Source organism: Homo sapiens, chromosome 11, assembly GCF_000001405.40.
Source record: "Homo sapiens chromosome 11, GRCh38.p14 Primary Assembly".
Lineage (NCBI taxonomy): Eukaryota > Metazoa > Chordata > Mammalia > Primates > Hominidae > Homo > Homo sapiens.
In genome coordinates, this window is record NC_000011.10 from 27,463,954 (window position 1) to 27,483,371 (window position 19,418).

General features: G+C 43.4%; 1 protein-coding gene and 1 long non-coding RNA gene across 4 annotated transcripts in view, besides 3 other annotated features; one reads left to right on the forward strand and one right to left on the reverse strand.

Moving 5' to 3' along the window:
* Positions 1-8,837, reverse strand: part of LGR4 (leucine rich repeat containing G protein-coupled receptor 4) — a 106,830-nt gene extending 97,993 nt beyond the window's left edge. For both annotated transcript variants that reach the window (NM_001346432.2, NM_018490.5), the window contains exon 1: positions 8,165-8,837. In NM_001346432.2, coding sequence (NP_001333361.1) covers positions 8,165-8,349 — 185 coding nt within the window. In that variant the 5' untranslated portion in view covers positions 8,350-8,837. The remainder of the gene's footprint in view (positions 1-8,164) is intronic.
* Positions 7,778-18,480, forward strand: LGR4-AS1 (LGR4 antisense RNA 1). 2 transcript variants are annotated; one of them, NR_131169.1, is made up of 5 exons: positions 7,778-7,879; positions 8,825-9,004; positions 9,215-9,698; positions 10,465-10,593; positions 11,816-12,268. It is a non-coding gene; the product is annotated as an LGR4 antisense RNA 1 (long non-coding RNA). The 2 variants fall into 2 exon arrangements; NR_131170.1 differs by lacking the exons at positions 10,465-10,593; positions 11,816-12,268 and adding an exon at positions 18,255-18,480 and having other exon boundaries at positions 9,215-9,243.
* Positions 7,951-8,010: a silencer, noted in NCBI's record as "silent region_3209". NCBI's record gives its function as "represses an Ori minimal core promoter by ATAC-STARR-seq in GM12878 lymphoblastoid cells {active_cell/tissue: GM12878}" and the evidence as "EXISTENCE:reporter gene assay evidence [ECO:0000049][PMID:35858748]".
* Positions 8,261-8,430: a silencer, noted in NCBI's record as "silent region_3210". NCBI's record gives its function as "represses an Ori minimal core promoter by ATAC-STARR-seq in GM12878 lymphoblastoid cells {active_cell/tissue: GM12878}" and the evidence as "EXISTENCE:reporter gene assay evidence [ECO:0000049][PMID:35858748]".
* Positions 8,561-8,610: a silencer, noted in NCBI's record as "silent region_3211". NCBI's record gives its function as "represses an Ori minimal core promoter by ATAC-STARR-seq in GM12878 lymphoblastoid cells {active_cell/tissue: GM12878}" and the evidence as "EXISTENCE:reporter gene assay evidence [ECO:0000049][PMID:35858748]".
* Positions 18,481-19,418: the final 938 nt, after the last annotated feature.

Sequence of the window (19,418 nt, forward strand, 5' to 3'; positions counted from 1 at the left end):
CACATTTAAAATACGCAAAATCTGAATTAATTTAGTACCTAAAACAGAAGGCTGAAGAGCACATGAACAGTTTCCACGAACTGAAATCTGAAGGTCCACAGTTAACATATCTGCTTTCTCTTCCCTACTACAGAAAAGAGTTGATAGGCTGGCCTAAGAGTTCCTGTTAAGTTACTCAAGAGAGAGTGTTCTCTCATTTTCTGGAGAATTATTCTGCAAAAATGCAGTTCTCTGAGACGGTTTGCACACAGGAGAAGGCTGGCAATCTAGAATGGAGTGGCAACCATGAGTTTCCTCCCTCCTGAAAATATCTGGTCTGCCAAGCCCTTCATATGTGACCCTTATGGTTTCTTCAAGGGCTTCTAGGCATACAGCTGATCCCTTAGGGAAATGGGAGAAACCAGGAAGTTAGCCATAGCCCACTCCTTACTCCCTAGTTTCAGAGAAGAGATTGCCAGTTTGCAAACACACCTCCCATTCAGCAACTTCAAAACCAGACACTTGAAGAGAGTGCGAATTATAAAATTCATCTCCCCTCACATGAAAACAGCTCTAATAAAACTCTTTAGGGGAGTTTCGATGTCACCACTTGTACTAAATGACTCTGCTGTTTACACTAAGAGCTACATAAGGAACCTCAAAGCCTGAGGGGAGTGGAGAAGTGTGACCTGAAGCAATCCCAGGCACATTCCTTAGCTATGCCTAGTACAGCTCCAAGGTAAGGAGCTATCTCCCTGCCAAATTTATGTCACTCTTCTTAGGAAGAAAAATTTCCCCAAATAGAACTTTAAAAATATAAGGGGATAGAGAGAATGTAACTTGTTATTTTTTCTGGATATCGGGTTCTACACTCTGATTCAAATACCAAAAGTACTTTGCTGCCAGGGTACAATGAGATTTTCACTCTTTCAAGGGTCAATTTTGTTTTTAAAACTTTGAAAAAAAAAACCTGCATTCTCCTAGTGTCAATCTAGAAAACACAACCAGCTAAAGGGGTTTACGCAGCCTTTTAAAAAGGCTTATCTTGATTCAGATTACTTAATTACAAATTAAATATAAGGAATAAAGAACCACTAAATGTCTTGTAACATATTAAATATGCTTCCTCTGCACATTTTCTCACTAGCACAAACAGCAGGCCAGCCTGGGATCTAAACGTATACCCAATCTTGGCCCAGCTGCCTCCCAAAATATCTATGGTTTACATTTCCTTACAAGGATATGCTTATATTCTTATGAACCAACATGTTGCCACAGGAGGGTGGTTCAATGTCTTACCCATAAGATCTTTCATGACAGAAAGCTAAGAAGGATATATATTTTAAATATTCATTTCAGGGACCTGGACTATTAGAAAGGCATTGCTGAACCCAGATGCATAACGCCAAATCTTGTGGTTGGGGGAAGACCAGGCTAGTGAGCTTTTCTGACAATTAAAATACGTAATGGTATGAAAAACATGTTTTAGAGATTAAAACCAACCAACCCAATCATTCAGAGTTTTAATTGCCTGGACACGACACAGAATATTTTAGTATGCTTTAAAGATCTTGCTAAAAATAGCTCAGCCATACACAAAGTTTAATAACGAATATTTGTCTATGTGTGAGTGAACTCAGAGTATACTAGCACACAATTACATCTTGCAATTTAAAAGAGGTGTTTGAATACTAACTTGTTAGTCTTCGGAAAGTTGAGAAGTTATCAACTGTACATGAGCTAAAAAATCACGATCTGTCTCATGCTAAGACTGATTTCTAAACTCAATTTTTAACTCACACAATTTTAGACAATAGAGTTGACACCTAGCATACAGTGTGACCATCAGGTGCTGAAAGGCACAAAAGAAATGTCAAGAGAGGCAGACAAATTAGCCATTGTGTAAGAGTACTGATTTGCTAAATGTCCTAGATTTTTTTCTTCACTGACAGGATTTACAATTACAGCATTTTATCATCTTCAATCAAGCTTTTAAAAAACCACACTTCACCGAACAAAGTTGGGGGAAAAAAGAAAAAAAGTCATCCATATTCTTTTATGTATAGGAAAACAAGCTTTAACATTGCCAACAACTTGAAGGCCGCACGGGACGGTTAAATAGCAAGCTGGGTAACATATTTCTCACTCCAAAACCTTGAGATCAAGTTTAAAAAATTAAAAGAGCAAAGGTGTCTTATAAAGAATACTCTAAGTTACATTACTTTTATTTTTCAGAGTTAAAGGCACATTTGGCAGGGTTTTAACTTTTAACTCAAGTATACCAACAAATACTGTACTTTTATAGATATTTATCTTTTTTTAATAGAGAAAAGGCAGGAGACAGTCTTAAAAATATTTCCATAAATTACTAAATGATTCTTGCAACTTTACTTAATATTCTACTCAGATTCACAGAAATTCAAAGCAAAGAGAGAGGCATTAGCCATCATCTAGTCAAATGTCCATTATTTATTGATTAGAAGAATGAGAATAAAAGGCACAATCAAGGAGACCAGAAACCAAAATCCAAACTTGCAGGCTGCCAGTACTTTCCATTATTATAAAGATGACTAAAATAAGAAGCTGAGAGATAGACCTGACAGAGACAGAGGCCAAGAATATGCCTAAACTTGCCTGGATCTACCTACTAATACAGAACTTTGATCTTTCCTAAGAGATTAAGTTGTCAAATGTTACCTTACAATCCTAATGTTAAGAGCCAAGGGCCTGGACATTAAACACTTATGATACCATAACCGGCAGAGCATTTAGTTTGACTGGAAATTATAAAACATTATTGGTTACTGCAAGTGTTAAGGAACCCTAAGTGAGAGAATTACTGGTTCATGTCTTTTTTATTTTTTTTTCTTGAGAGGAGTCTCGCTCTGTTGCCCAGGCTGGAGTGCAGTGGCACAATCTCGGTTCACTGCAACCTCTACCTCTGGGGTTCAAGAGATTCTCCTCCCTCAGCCTCCCAAGTAGCTGGGACTACAGGCGTGCACCACCACGCCCGGCTAATTTTTTTTTATTTTAAGTAGAGACGGGGTTTCACCATGTTAGCCAGGCTGGTCTTGAATTCCTGACTTCAAGGGATCTACACACTTTGGCCTCCCAAAGTGTTGGGATTACAGGTGTGAGCCACCACACCTGGCCTCAAGTCTTAAGAATTGCTCAGATCATATCCAGTACACTTTTGCCTGTGAGGCATGAGTTCCCCATGCAATGGAAATATTCCAGGTGAACTGGACAACTGGAAGAGTCTCCTGGGTTGGTGAGAGATTCTACAGTTTAGACACCTATACTTCATTTAACACAATAGAGAGGACCCAAGGAATGTATAAAAATCAAAATAAGGCGGGGCACGATGGCTTGTACCTGTAATCCCAGCACTTTGGGAGGCCGAGGCAGGAGGACCACGAGGTCAGGAATTCAAGACCAGCCTGGCCAAGATGGTAAAACCCCGACTCTACTAAAGATACAAAAAAATTAGCCAGGCATGGTGGCGGGTGCCTGTAATCCCAGCCACTCGGGAGGCTGAGACAGAGAATTGCTTGAACCTGGGAGGTGGAGGTTGCAGTGAGCCGAGGTCGTGCCACTGCACTCCAGCCTGGGCAACAGCGCAAGAGTCCGTCTCAAAAAAAAAAAAAAAATCAAATTAAATAGAGAACAACAATAAAAAACACTTTTGGCAGTTAAGAGTTGTTGACTTGTTTTACAGATTTACAGATGAGGAAAATAAGGTCCTGAAGGGTTAAGAATATGACTCATTCAAGGTCACTCCTGTGAATTATTGACAGATCTGGAACCCAGCACTCCCTATGCCTGGCAGAATATTTTTTCCTCGCTTATATTTAAAGAGAACACATGGTTCACTAGTTTGGAAAATAAAGGACCTATACTTAAAGATATTCATACATCGTTCTTGTTTTGAACAAAGTTCACTTGTATATAAAACTAATGCATCTCTAGAAAGACACACAACACAAACTAAGCCAACAATTGATTTCTGTAATTCAGAAATCAAAAGATAACAAAACTCTACCATCAATAAATACAAACATGTAGCCACTGACTACTGACCTGACCTGCCAGGAAATACACAGTAGATATCAGAGAATACGTTAAAAAGTACTTTCAAATGGTATTAGTAAAAGAAGAAAGGTGCTTGGAGTAGTGGGGGAAAAAAAATACACCTTAGGGAAGAATCTGAGATGATCTTTCCAAAAGGAGATTCTTTAAAAACACTTTAAAGTCCTTCAGGTAACTCAATTCTAAATAAAAAGCTCAACAACCTGCTCATGTACAGGATACATACACTGTGAAGGTTTGAGAGATTATGACTAATTATATGGAAGTGAGGATGTTGAGTAACTTTTTGTACAGTATCCAAATTACTGAAACAGAGTGATTTTATTTTCCAAGTGTTAAGCCATACCCACAGGAAACAACCAGGGCTATTCTACCCTAGCAAAGTGCCTTAGCTAGTCATGCATTCTGCAACAAGTCTCCATGGCAAATTTCCTAACACACACTTCTAAACACAAAGAACTCCTCCAAGTAATAAAGAGGGTGGTGTGAGCTCAACTAAAAGGATATTCTGCTACTCCTGGGATATTTTTATGAGAGGATCATAACCTTATTGTCACCTTGCCATCCTAAAATGGTGTAAAAAATATAAAATCATAGAACTTCTGGAAGTAAGCAGCAGCCTTAGAGGTGATCAAGTGAATCCAGTTGCTTCACTTTTCAGATGAGGAAATTGTCACGAGAAAAAAAAAAAAAAAGTGAATGACTTGCCCAAGGCCATTCAATTACTCAGTGGCATAGTAAAGCTATGATCAAGGACTCAGGTCCACCACTTTCTTCACGAAGTCACAGAAATAGCCTTGCTAATCTTAAAACTATGTGCCAAACATAACCTAGGACATGCAAATTTGTGCTCGAGGTCTACGTTTCTCAAACACCGTAGCAATAACACACAAACCAGAGGACTCACATACACATTCCCCTCCCCATGACTTCATCTCTTCTCCCAATCTTGGAATGTAGGTGATTGAGTTATTAGCACAAATACAGTAATAACCTTGAATCCTTCTGATTAAACTTCGGAATTTTAATATTAGTAAGATTACTGCCTTGAACACTCCTCGGGGTGAATTGTGACAGGCCAGTGCATTGTGACACAAGATTGAATACTGTTGTTCAAAAACATAAATAGTTGCTACAGGTGCAGCAAATGGTGTGAATACAGGAATCCCATTCACAGTACTGAGGATCACATCTGACGCTGTCCCCAGACTCCGGTAAAGCGGCTTTCACCAGGAAATAGACACTGTTAGACTGAACAAGTTTCAACCAGCCTCAAGGAGAAGAAGCAGGTATTCTCTCTCTGGGACCTTCTCAAATCTGGACAAAAGGCTAAGTGCTGAGAATGAATCTGAAAATCCCCTGTGGGAATGGTGTCTGAATTCCATGCCACGGTTCTGCTCCTCGGTGTGGCCTTGCATCCTTATTTATTCACTCCAGCATTTTTAAGTGCCTCCTATGTACCGGGCTCTGGGGATCCCAAGTTGAGTAAAATAAAATCACTGCCCTGTCAGTCCCAGGATCTTTAAAGTGAAATGCACCCCCCACCCCTGTCCCCAGGGAAGGTGAAAGCACTACTCCAGGACAAGCCATTGAGCAATGAGAAGAAAATGAAGAACTCTGATTAGTAATTATAGTTTCATCTTTTTAACTTCTACTTTCATGATTGTAATTTTCTGTATAACTACAGAGGTTTTTGGTTCACATGCTCCAGCAATTAAGAATAGGTGAACAAACGCTTAGAGACCACGGAACTAGTCTCCTGATGTGTAACTGTATCTCAGTAAAGCTGCGATGGGAGAGCAGACTGGAAGTACTTGGAAAAAGACCCTAGGTGATCGCAACATGTCCCATATATGATCGACTGGAGTGTGCAAACCTGCAGCACTGGCCTTGCTTCATACATTGCTTTTGAGAATCACTGAATGAGCTAGTTTCCCCATGAGTAAAATGCAAATATGCTGTCCTTGAAAACCCTTTTAGAGAGGGTGGTTATATATATTTTTGAGGGTGAAATGAGTACTAAGGAGAAATAAGGAGTCACCAGAATGTACGATCACTCTACCTACAGGTCACAAATCTAAGAAAATAAAACACATTTGCACACCACCAAAGCTCAGAAAGTGCTAAGATAATGCTAGTTTAGGCACTCTAATTGAGACTGGTACCAATTATTTTTCTGTTTCCTAAGCCATGAACACTAACTTATTCTAAGGCCCAAAGTTGAAGATACAGCATTTCACCACCTTCAGTGAGTTCTACCAGAAGATGCTTTGGAGAGAGGAGTATGCTCTCATAAAAGTGTGATTATTTCTCTGTGGTTTTAGATACTAATGTAAAACAGCCCGTTTCCTTATAGGACAAGTCTACTCACTAAAATGTGAGGAATCTGCTAAACAAGGTCTTTACTACTGGTCAAAATAGTAAAATTGTGCTTTTCTATTCTATGCAGAGCCTTGCAAGAGGTTCAGGTAAAGGGACCTTTCTTTCTGCATTTCTTTCTGCACGAATTCCCTAAACGTTTCTAGAGAACTTGGGGAAAAATTAGTCCCATTTCCTCTCCACAGGTCTTCTTTCTCTTGATTCAATCAATTCCTGCTCAAACTTTCCCACTTAATGTAACTTTATGAACAAAATGCTCTTCACTGCAAAGTTAACTTTTTTTTTTAATGACAAGTTAAACTTCACTATACTGAAAAAAAAAAAAAACCTCAAATACATAACTAAAACTAACCTGAGACAGGAAAAATAACAAATGGGGAGGGGAAGGCTGAAGGTAGAAGAATGAAACAGGTTCCAAGACAACAGGCCTCGATGCTCACTAAAAGTCCATCCTGAGAGGGCAAGCGGAACACCTTTGCCACCACCCACCTGGAAATACAGCAATGCTCCTGCCTGCATAAAGATTTCTTCACAGGGTCCTTTAAAACTGTCTATTTCTAAGAGGTCCCTTCCACTACAGGTAAAAGGAAATTCCCTCTACCCTAGGGCCCCTCAGGATCCCTTCCTCTCTCACACGTTTCTTCGACTGCTCCTGATTTAAGCATTCAGCTGGCCACGCAACGCAAGAAGCAATAAGAACACAAAAACCCTACCCTGTTCCTCCTCTATCCGTGGCCTTTGCCACCACCTCCACAACCTAGTTCAGATTCCTCTTCTTTTCTCAAGGGAACGTCTAAAGCTCTCAAGTCCGTTTTGGCAGGGCGATTTTGTAAGTCTGAAACATTTCAGTGTGTCTCTCGATCTCAGGCAGCTCAAAAGAAAAGATCTGCTGGCTGCGTGAAGGTGCATTAGAAACCTGCTGCTACCTTGCAGCCTGGGCTGAGCATATGCTCCGGAACTTGCTTCTCTTCCAACATCCTGCACCTCAGGTCAGCATTCCTTCTTTAAAAGGCCTTGTTGGGTAAGAGCATGTCCACCAACAGAACCCTGTAATTCTCCCTTGTTTTCTCGGACTCCCCTGCGTGCTGCAGAAGCCTGGGCGTTAGTGGGGTAGTCCCGAGTGGAACTGGGCCGAGGTAGGTGCCGGGACGCACTACCTGGATGGGGCCAAATTGGAAGGAGATTCGCCCTGACTGAGGTACAGGTGTTTCTTCTCCCCACATGCTGGAACCCAGGAGGCTCCAGGTGCTTCCCCACGAGACATGCCTCGGTATGCAGACTGAGGCCAAGTTCTCGGCGCCCTCAGCCCCGCCAGTAGCGGAACTCCTGCCCGCTGAGCGAGGGCCCTCATGAGAAGGGAAGGTCGCGTGGACAGGCTGCCAGGGGCAAGCGTTTTTAGATTACTTCCTCCTTCTTGGCCCCAGATGCACTTGTGAGTTGGGGGTGTGCGCGGTGGGGTGGGAGGGTGCTTGTGCCCAAAAAGTCTGGGAACGAAAGCTACTGCTGGCTCGAACCCGGACTAGCAAAGTGCGGAAAGCCCGTGGCACAGGAGTGGGTGCCAGGCAGCCCGCACGCAGGTGACCGGCGGACCCCCTCCCCAGGCCCGGGCGGCGGCGGGGCGGGGTGGGGTGGGACTGACCCCTGGCTCCGCCCCGCGGCGCCCCCCGCTGGGCCCCGTTTCCTCCCCCCCCCTCGCGTCCCCGCCGCCCGCACTCACAGCGCTTGGGTGAAGGCGCTGAGCCCCTCGGGCACGGCCGTCAGCCCCTTCCCGGAGCAGTCCACCCGACGGTCGCCGTCGCAGCTGCAGGGCGCCGCGCAGAGAGGCGGCGCCGCGCCGCTGGGCCCGGCCGAGCCGAGCAGCCCCAGGGCGAGGAAGCAGAGCAGCCCTAGCGGGCCCGGCATTGCTGCGGCCGCCTCCCGCGCCGGCCTCTCCCGCGGCGCTGCTCGCTCCGCTGCCCTCCGATGTCCCCCGCCGCCCCCGGGCAGCCGGCCTGCGGGCTGGAGCGGGGGTCTCTTCCTCGGCGGTCCGCGCGGGCTCGGCCCCTTCAGCAGTCCGCCGCAGCGGCGCAGGGACGCGGCGCTCCGGAGTTTCGCCCTTCCCGCTGCTCCATGGACGCGCAGAGGCAGCCCCGCTCCTCCGGCGGCTCACGCCAGCCGGGCCGGCCCGGCGCAGCGGCGGGGGCCGCGCTCTGCCATCGCACCGGTCTCCCTGTCCCTGGCCTCTCAATGCAGCGGCTCTTCAAGGTTGCAGAGCGCAGCCTTCAGCCATGCCGGCCACTCGCCCCAGCCCCCGCCGTGGCTCTCGCACAAACACCCAGACTCTGGCTCGCTGTCTCCCAGCCGCGGCTCAATCTCTTCCCGTCCTTTTCCCTTCTAGGGTTGCACGCTCTGGTTCCCAAACCCCCGGCCGCTGGCTTATGCAAATCACTTAGGTACATGCAAAAGTATCCCTTCTCCCGGAGCGCCATTGGCCCGGGGAGGTCTCGAGCTCATTACTATGCAGAGAGGAGAGCCGCCATTGGCCAAGAGGAGGACCAGAGGGGCGTGTTTCTCGGGCGTGAGTGACAAGGTGGTGGTGGTTGTGGTGGTGGCGGCGGTGGTGGTGGTGGTGGTGGCGGCGGTGGTGGTGGTGGTGGTGGTGGTGGTTCAAGGCAAAATCTTGACTTGGCTGGATTTGTCTGGCAGGTTGTGGATTGAAGGTAGAAGGATAGTAGGACAAGGGGTCTAGTTTTTCCCTCCCCCACCCGTCTTTTTGTTCCCTCCGCAGAAATTGGATCTCCTAAATTGGATGACCTGGTAAGTAGAACTTCCCTCCAGCGTTCAGTTAAGTTTTAAATGACTCTCCGCTGTTCCAAAGGGCGAGGACGTCTGGAGCTCTGCAAACGGAAAAAAGATTTTGAAGAGGAGGAAAAAAGTTTCCCTCGATCTGACACACATCTTTGGGTTTTAGCTATACACTAAGTTAAAAGTGTACCCTCTCCAGTGCCTCACTTCACCTGGGATCTTTACACCTATCTTGATACACATTTGGTAGCTAAGTCTTAGCAATTCATTCTCCCCAGTCCTCTCTCTGTATTTGGTGTTTTTGGTGACTGCAAATTAGACTCCTTTCTCACGCACTTTAAAATCCTGAAACACAGGAATTTTGTAAAAGGTCAGAGAAAGTGATGTTTCTGAACACTGGACAATTTCCAAAACATCTGAGTGGGAGGTGACTACGGCTGAGAAGCCAGCAGCAACGTTGGTGTTAGGTAATTATCAGCATTCCCTCCTCTTCTGGATTTTGAGTCCCTGTGGCCTAATAGACCCCACGGAATCATTACCTGTACCAACTACGGCTTTAAGGGTACTTCGTTTCTTGCTCTCTGCCATGGCGTTGAGTCGTTTTACTCTATAATGGAGACATTTTTAATGAATACATTAAAACAAGCAGGATTCGGCCGGGCGCGGTGGCTCACGCCTGTAATCCCAACACTTTGGGAGGCTGCGGCGGGCGGATCACCTGAGGTTGGGAGTTCTAGACCACCCTGACCAACATGAAGAAACCCCGTCTCTACTAAAAATACAAAATTAGCCGGGTGTGGTGGCAGATGCCTGTAATCCCAGCTACTCGGGAGGCTGAGGCAGGCGAATTGCTTGAGCCCGGGAGGCGGAGGTTGCGGTGAGCTGGAGATCGCGCCATTGCATTCCAGCCTGGGCAACAAGAGCAAAACTCTGTCTCAAAAAAAAAAAAAAAAAAAAAAAAAAAAAGCAGGATTTAAAGATAATTATCATATAAAGTTGACTAGCCATCGTATGTAAATAAAACTTAGGACAATGGAAACAGGTTGATGCAGACCTATAAGTTTAAAATGAAAAAATTTTATCATCTTTGTATTTGGGAGTTTATCTAAAAGATAATGTCAGGTTGGGCACATAAGTCACATACAGTAAATCTGTCTAGAAGCTAGAGAGTTAATAAATAAACATATGCCTTCATTTCAAGTTTTAGGAATGACATATCTCCTCTCACTGCAGGGCTGAAAGACAACTTAAAGACCCCCAGAAAACTCTGGTTTTATAGATAAGAAATCTGAGGCTCGAGAGAGAGTGTGTTCTGCCCAACATCATCACGGAACAGCTCCTGGGCTCCTGGCTCCTAATCTGGTACTCTTAGAGCCTTCCCTAAATAGGCTTTCATCGTCTAAATCATTTCCATTATTTTCTAGCAACTGTCATGAACAAATAAGGAAGAAATTGTAAAGTTAGTTTCTGTAATCGTTTCTTTAAGATCTCTTCTTTTTTTTTTTTTTTTTTGAAACGGACTCTCACTCACTGTGTCCAGTGGCGTGATCTTGGCTCACTGCAACCTCCACCTCCCGGGTTCAAGTGATTCTCCTGCCTCAGCCTCCCCAGTAGCTGGTATTACAGGTGCCCACCACCATGTTTAGCTACTTTTTTTTTTTTTTTTTTTTTTTTTTTTTTAGTAGAGATGGGGTTTCTCATGTTGGCCAGGCTGGCCTCAAACTCCTCACCTCAAGTGATCCACCTGCCTTGGCCTCCCAAAGTGCTGGGATTACAGTCATGAGCCACGGAGTCCGGCTTATATGCAAATCTTGATTAAAAATGCAGAATGATTTAGTAGGCCTAAGTGGGGCCCAGAAACCAGCATTTTGTTGCACAGCAAGTGAAAGTGACACAGGTGATTCATGAACCACACTTGGAGAACTTTATTCTTTGTCTTCAAATAATAAAATCTTATGGCTGAAAACTTAGGTGAAAGGAGAGATTTATATTTTGAAAAAAGGGGAGATGCAGATTTTACTAAAAAATAAATTCCTATTGTCTATTAGATGACAAATGTAAGAAAGGAAGATTCAAATTTGCAGCTTAGCCAAGAAGATAAAAGATCAGGAACAAAAGACTTGGGTAGGGAACAGAAAAGATAAGATATATTGAAGTGTTTGTATTTCTTATTTGGTACATTTTGTATGCTTTGCATTAGAGATACATTGGTCAATTAGTCTCCATCTCTTGGATAAGATGTCCCAAGAAAGTATAAAGACAAAAAACAAAAAACCAGTGATTAAGGTAATATCTCAGATAACTAGAGAAAAATGATCAGCTCTTAAATAAATCATAAGGACTGGAAAGATACTGAGATAAACCAAATAAAAATTGACGGCAAGCAAAAAATAATAGGGTCTCTGTCTACAGATCGGTTCCTCTTAAAGTTTTCATTGGTTGTGTGTAAGTAAATTTGCGGCATCCACAGGCTAGATAAAAAATAGAACTGGGCTGCAACCCCTCTGCATATGTGGCATGGAGCTTATGGGCCATGAAGAAAGTACCCTATCGTAGTGATACTTGCCTTGGTGTCTTTGTGCAGAGCACACAGGACTTGTTGACTGATGGATAAGCTGGACTTCGGTTCTACCACCCCTTTACCCAAGAACTCTTGTAAACATAGAACCTGAACAAGTATATGCAGAGGCCCTACCTGTTGGGTGAACGGTTCAAGGTGCCCTGTTACAACAACAGCTCAGATACAGTGGGGGCTCTGAGTGCTGTAATGATTGACTGGATAAAAGTCCTCAAACATGTAGAATTTCACTTTTTATGAACTATTTCGACTTAGAAAAAGAGTTAACAGCAATCAGCTTAAGAAATATTACGAATGTAGTTGAAGCTCCCTTTGTACCACTCCCCAATCATATTCCTTTTCTTCCTCTCCCTGAGAAGTAAGCAGTTTCCTAAACTTTGTAGTTAATTCCCATGCATATTTTCATGCTTTTCGTATGCATGTATCCCTAAACAATAAACAGCATTGTTTTTCATATATAAATCAACATCATTGCGTACTGTTCTGCAACCTGCTTTTTCACTCAACCTGTGAGTGTAATCGACATTCACGAACTATGAGGCTTGTAACTTCATTTTTATTACTATATAATATTCCACTTAATGAAATGCCCAGTGTGTTAGGGTTCTCCAGAGAACAGAACCAATAGGATATATATAGAAATACAGAAAGAGATTTATTGTGAGGCACTGACTTATACAATTATGGAGACTAAGTGACAATCTTCCATCTACATGCTGAAGGCCCAGGAAAGCTAGTGGATTTGTTTTAGTCCAAACTTGAAGGCCTGAGACCCAGGGGAGTCAATGATGTTTTGGTCGAAGTCTGAAGGCCTGAGAACCAGGAGCAGTGAAGTCTGAGGGGAAGAGAAGACAGATGTCCCAGCTCAAGCAGAAAGCAAATTTATCTTTTCACTCTTCCACCGTTTTTTGTTTGTTTGTTTTTTTAAATGGTGTTTTGTTTTGTTTTGTTTTTGAGATGGAGTCTCTCTCTGCGGCCCAGGATGGAGTGTAGTGGTGTGATCTCAGCTCACTGCAGCCTCCACCTCCTGGGTTCAAGCGATTCTCCTGCCTCAGCCTCTCAAGTAGCTGGGACTACAGGCATGCACCACCACACCCAGCTAATTTTTGTATTTTTAGTAGACAAGGGGTTTCACTGTGTTGGCCAGGCTGGTCTTGAACTCCTGACCTCAAGTGATCCACCCACCTCAGCCTCCCAAAATGCTGGGATTACAGATGTGACCCACTGCACCCGGCCTTCCATTGTCTTTTTGTTCTATTCAGGCCCTCAATGGGATGCACAAGGGCATCTTCCTACTCAGTCTACTGAATCTCTTCCAGAAATACCCTCACAGACACATCCAAGATGTAATGTTTTACCAGCTATCTGGCTATCCTTTGCCCAGTCAAGTTGACACATAAAATTCATCATTATACTCAGTATTTATTTATCCATCCTCTTGGTTAAGATTATTTTTATTTTTTCTAATGACAATTCAACTATGAATATTTTTGTATATATTTGCTTGTTCATACATGTAAGAGTTTCTCTAAAATGTGTGTATTTTCTTTAAATATTCATGTGTATATGTGTGTATTGTGTGTGTCTGGAAGTGGAATTGCTGCTGGGCACAGTGGCTCATGCATGTAATCCCAATACTTTGAAAGGCCAAGGTGGGAGGATCATTTGAGCCCAGGAGTTTGAGACCAGCCTGGGCAACATAGCAAGACCCCATCTCTACAAAAAATTTTAAAAATTGGCCAAGCTTGGTGGTCCACACTTGTAGTCCCACCTACTTAGGAGGCTGAGGTGGGAGGACAGCTTGAGCTCAGGAGGTCAAAGTTGCACCACTGCACTCTAGCTTGGGAGTGCATGATTGGACCATTGCCCTCCAGCCTGGGACAAGAGCAAGACCCTGTCTTAAAAAAAAAAAAAAAAAAAAGCAGAATTATTAGGTTGCAGATTATGTGCATTTACCATTATTAGATGTTGTTGCTAAATTGCTCTCAAAAGTGACTGCAGTTAGCTGTGCTTCCCTCAGAAGGGAATAACAACCCCTGTTACTCAACATCTTACCAATACCTGATATTGTAAGGCTTAAATGTTTACGAATCTAATGCATAGGAAATGAAATCTGTGTGGTTTAAATTTGAGTTTCCCTGATTCCAACGGCATATTTTCATGTATTTATTGGACATTCTTGTGTGCTGTTCTATGCATTGCCCATTCATTTCCTTGGCCTGTTTGTTTTCCATTGGGTTGTTTATATTTGCTTTTATTGTTTTATAGTGGGGATCAGCAAAGGTTTTCTGTTAAGGGCCCAGTAGTAAATATTTTGGACTTTGTGGGCCATATGGTCTCTGTCACAACTATTCAACTCTGCCATGCAGCACAAAAGCAACCATAATACAAAATAGATGTCATTGTATTCCAATAAGATTTTTTTGACAAAAACAGGTGTTGGACTAGTTCTGGCCCATAGGCCATAGTTTGCTAACCCTGTTTTATAGGATGTTAATCCTTTATTAAAATATACTCATTATTTCTGTTTGTTTTTGTTTGCTTGCTTGTTTTTAAAGGACAGGATCTTCCTGTGTCACCCAGTTGCATGCAATGATCTTAGCTCATTGCAGCCTCAAACGCCTGGGCTCAAGGGATCCATCCTCCTCAGCCTCCAGAGTAGCTATGACTGTAGGTTCACACCACCATGCCAGCTAATTATTATTATTTTTTTGTTGAGACCTAGTATTGCTATGTTGCCCAGACTGGTCTCAAATTCCTGGCTTCAAGGGAGCCTCCCACCTCAGCCTCCCAAAGTGCTAGGGTTATAGGCATGAGCCATCGTGCCCAGCCTACTGATTGTTTTGGAAACAATTTACGTGATTATGTAAAATTCAGAGAGACATACCTCAAAGGGTAACCATCTTTTCTTGCAAGTTAAGATCACGCACTTTCTTTTCTTTCTTTTTTTTTGAGACGGAGTTTCGCTCTTGTTGCCCCGGCTGGAGTGCAATGGCGCGATCTCGGCTCACCACAACCTCCACCTCCTGGGTTCAAGCGATTCTCCTGCCTCAGCCTCCCAAGTAGCTGGGATTACAGGCATGCGCCACCACCCCAGCTAATTTTGTATTTTTAGTAGAGATGGGGTTTCTCCGTGTTCGTCAGGCTGGTCTTGAACTCCCAACCTCAGGTGATCCGCCCACCTCGGCCTCCCAAAGTGCTGGGATTACAGGCATGAGCCACCGCGCCCGGCCAAGATCAAGCACTTTCAAAATTCCAGTCTCCATGATGACCTCATGCTGAAGATTATGTTGCAGAATGAGCCAAGCAGAGTGCAAGCTTAAAAATGCCCTGCTTTCTGGAATGAAGGACACAGAGGGAGTCCTGGGCACTTAGAGTTTACCTCACCCTTTGTGTAAAAGGCACCCTAAATATTTTTGACCCAAATAATAACATAACCTGTGAGAAATAGTTATCGAGCTTAAATAAAAGCATAGGTGCCAAAAAGCTACCTGAAGTGAGAAGCTGGCTATACATTAAAAATATACATGTATCAGCCGGGCGCCGTGGCTCATGCCTGTAATCCCAGCACTTTGGGAGGCCGAGATGGGTGGATCACGAGGTCAGGAGTCCAAAACCAGACCAGCCTGACCAACATGGTGAAACCCTGTCTCTATTAAAAATACAAAAATTAGCCCGGTGGGGCAACGTGCACCTGTAGTCCAAGCTACGCAGAAGGCTGAGGCAAAAGAATCGCTTGAACCCAGGAGGCGGAGGTTGCAGTGAGCGGAGATCGCGCCACTGCACTCCAGCCTGGGTGACAGAGTGAAACTGCATCTCAAAAAAAAAAAAAAAAAAATATATATATATATATATATGTGTGTGTGTGTGTGTGTGTGCGCGTGTGTGCGTATATATATATACACACACACACGTACATACATACATACATACATACATGTACCTATGCTGGGTGCAGTAGCTCATGTCTGTAATCCCAACCTTGGGAGGCCCAGGCTGGCTGATCACTTGAGGTCAGAAATTCGAGTCCAGCCTGGCTAACGTGGTGAAACCCCATCTCTACTAAAAATACAAAATTGGTGGGTACCTGTAATCCCAGCTACTGGGGAGGCTGAGGCAGGAGAATCGCTTGAACCTGGGAGGCAGAGGCTGCAGTGAGCCAAGATCATGCCACTGCTCTCCAGCCTGGGCAATAGAGTAAGACTCTGTCTAAAAAAAAAAAAAGAAACTATGTGTGTATGTGTATTTATATGCATATAAATTTATATACATATACATATAAATACACACACAAAGATTTGTATACATAAATGCGTAAATATACATACATAAATATTTCAAGACATGATAGGGTTAGGGAATAAAGAAAAGAATATCAAGTCTAATCCCTACTGATCAGATATCTTACATGCACCTACTCTAGTGAATGAATCTTCAAGGTAGTGCATAGTTTCTAGGCTTTGATGCCTCCATATTTGCATGGGAAGCTTTGGGATGGAAGAGCTTTCACATTAAGCCCCAGAGGCTTGCAGTCATTCTATCATGGTCTCAAATAAGATACTTTTACACACCTTATCAACATCTCTAGTGTGGTCCTATTGGACACAGGAAACAGCATCTAATTTTTTAGGGCTAATTGAAAACAATGATTTATTTTGAACAAAAAATAACAATGTAAAATTGTCGACAAATTTTAAACATCCTTTTAAGCTACACAAGTGACCAAATTTGGGCTCTGGGCCCTCTTTACTGTACCTAGAGCTCGAGCAAGGGTGAAGGATGGCTGGGAGCAGCACATGCCACTTGTGTAGAACTGATGGGACCTCTGGGATGCGAGGGCTCGTAGTGAGGCTTCTGGCACGACTGGTTGAAGGCCATTCTTGAAGACAGCCCTTTTTCAAAACATCACCAAAAAGCATCTTACTCTTTTGAGCTGGTTGGATACTACGGGGTTAGATAGCCTTTCAATACTTCTGAAGACCCATATTGACCCAAAATTTGAAAACATTTGGATAAATATCAGAAATATGGAAATGCCTAATCTTTTCATTTTCTTTTTTCTTGTTTGTTTTTTTCGAGAGAGTTTCGCTCTTGTTGCCCAGGCTTCAGTGCCATGGCACAATCTTGGCTTACCACAACCTCCGCCTCCTGGGTTCAAGTGATTTTCCTGCCTCAGCCTCCCGAGTAGCTGGGATTACAGGCATGTGCCACCGTACCTGGCTAATTTTGTATTTTTAGTAGAGACAGGGTTTCTTCCTGTTGGTTAGTCTGGTCTCGAACTCCTGACCTCAGGTGATCTGCCCGCCTCGGCCTGCCAAAGTGCTGGGATTACAGGCGTGAGCCACCGTGCCCGGCAATGCCTAATCTTTTCTAAATCTGATTTTCTTTTCCTGATCTTTCCCTTTCAATTCTAACACAAGAGGAAAATGAGACTCAAGGGAGCAACTTCTGAATTACAGAACCACATGTGGGTTCGTTCCAAAGTCTGAGTGCATAAACTACTGGTGAGAAATAGAAGTAGGCAAAAATTAAATGATTCTTAAAGAAACTAGATGTTATAAGAAAAGAGATAGAAAAGTAAAGGTAGAAAAATCAGAATAGAAAAGCAGGAAGATTACCACCTGGTCAAGCTGATAATTTGTTAAGACCAAAATACCAACACGAAGTTCAGCCATGGAATTGGGTAGTTTTCACTTCCTCAGAATCCCAAATAAAAGTGAACATTTTAGAAAGATCTTAGCATGACACAATTATTTCAAGAAACTACATGCAAAATCTGCGCATGCCCTGATGATGTGTAATCAGAAAACCAGCACTTAGGGTGGAGTAGGGGGCTGTGGTGGTGGTGGTGGTGCTGAAATGTTCTGAAAAGCTCTTCTTTGTCTACATCAAATATTTTGAAAGAAATCTGAAATGGAAAGAGGAAATTAAATGTAGACCCAAGGAGAAATATTGGGTAGGATGTGGAGGGAAGACTCCATATTCTGTAAATTGTCTTTTTCCTAACTAGACACCAAATACTGTCTCAAAAAAAAAAAAAAAAAAAAAAAAAAGACACTCTTAAATACCTGTTTGCTAATTCCCAAGCTGTTAAGTTATTTTTGTCTAGTGACAGCTACCATGGCTATCTTCAAATAAGAAAAGCGGCAGCCAGAATGAAAAGGTTAACAATCCAAAAGTTTTTGAAAATGTCTTTTAATTTTCAAAATAAAACACCCTGAAGCAGTGCTTTTAAAAACACAGGCAAACTGCCAGTCATTTGTAATTTCCAAGATTACTTTGGAAAGGGGCAAAGCAAAGAAAGCTTCAAGGCTGGGTTAGTGGTGCTGGGTGTCAGGATGATGCTGAAGATGGTATTTTCTAGGACTGGTTGGCAAAATCTGGTAATATCTGCTAATACCTCTCTCTCTCTCTCTCTCTCTCTCTCGTTCTCCCTCTGCCTCAGGCTAATGTTAAAACATACTTCGTGATCTGTAGAACGTAAGAGAAAATTTAGAAAATGTTTGATATGAAAGAGAAAATGAAGGATGTTGCGATAATAGGGAAAAACTTTATAGTAATTCTACCAATTTGCCCCTTTTATTCTAAAATAACACAAACTTGTCAAGCTTTTCAACATTTTTTGAATTTTTTTTTTTTTTTTTTGAGATGGAGTTTCACTCTGTTGCCCAGGCTGGAGTGCAGTGACATGATCTTGGCTCACTGCAACCTCCACCTCCTGGGTTCAAGCAATTCTCCTGTCTCAGCCTCCCAAGTAGCTGGGATTACAGGCCTGCACTACCATGCCTGGCTAATTTTGTATTTTTGGTAGAGACGGGGTTTCACCATGTTGGCCAGACTGGTCTCGAACTCCTGACCTCAGGTGATCCACCCCGCCTCGGCCTCCCAAAGTGCTGGAATTACAGGCATGAGCCACTGCACCCAGCTGGATTTTGTTTTTCAAGGACTATTTACCACATACCTACTTTTCAAAATGTACTCCGCTAGGTACTGAAGAGTTTTGACTGATGCAGGGCTGTCTGCATGTAAATCACCCTGGGAAGGTTTGTAATACAGAAGTTCCAAGATTCCATCTCCATTGATTCTATTATAGAAGGTCTCTGTGGGTCCCTGAATTCCCAGTGTTTAAAAAGTTCCTGATTCTGATGTAGGCCTCCACCACTAACCAAGACGTATGACTTTTTGCTACAAGATAAGGCAAGTGTGGGTCCTCTGAGAAGCAGACATCAATATGGGATTACTCATGCAAGAGATTTGTTAGGGGAAGTGATTGTGAAGGGAAAATGGGGAGGGAGCTAAGGGCGTCTGAGAAACCATCAGATTGAGATGTGGGTCTGGCCCCAGGTGAGGAGGTGAAGGAAGGAAAAGAGTCTTAGATTTCAGTGCAGTTCTATAAAATTTCAGCAAAGCCACAAAAATTATCTGCCAGAGTCTCACGTCTCCCAGGAACAGGACTGCCTTAGTATCTCAGCCATGCTCAGTCATGGGCTGGGACCAGCCCATAGGAAGTGTGGCCTTGGCACAAACAGGGTGAAGGATTTTACCTTAGGACTGTTAGTCAATTAGTGTCCCCACAGTGAGAGGTCTGACAGGTGCCTTTCACTGCAGC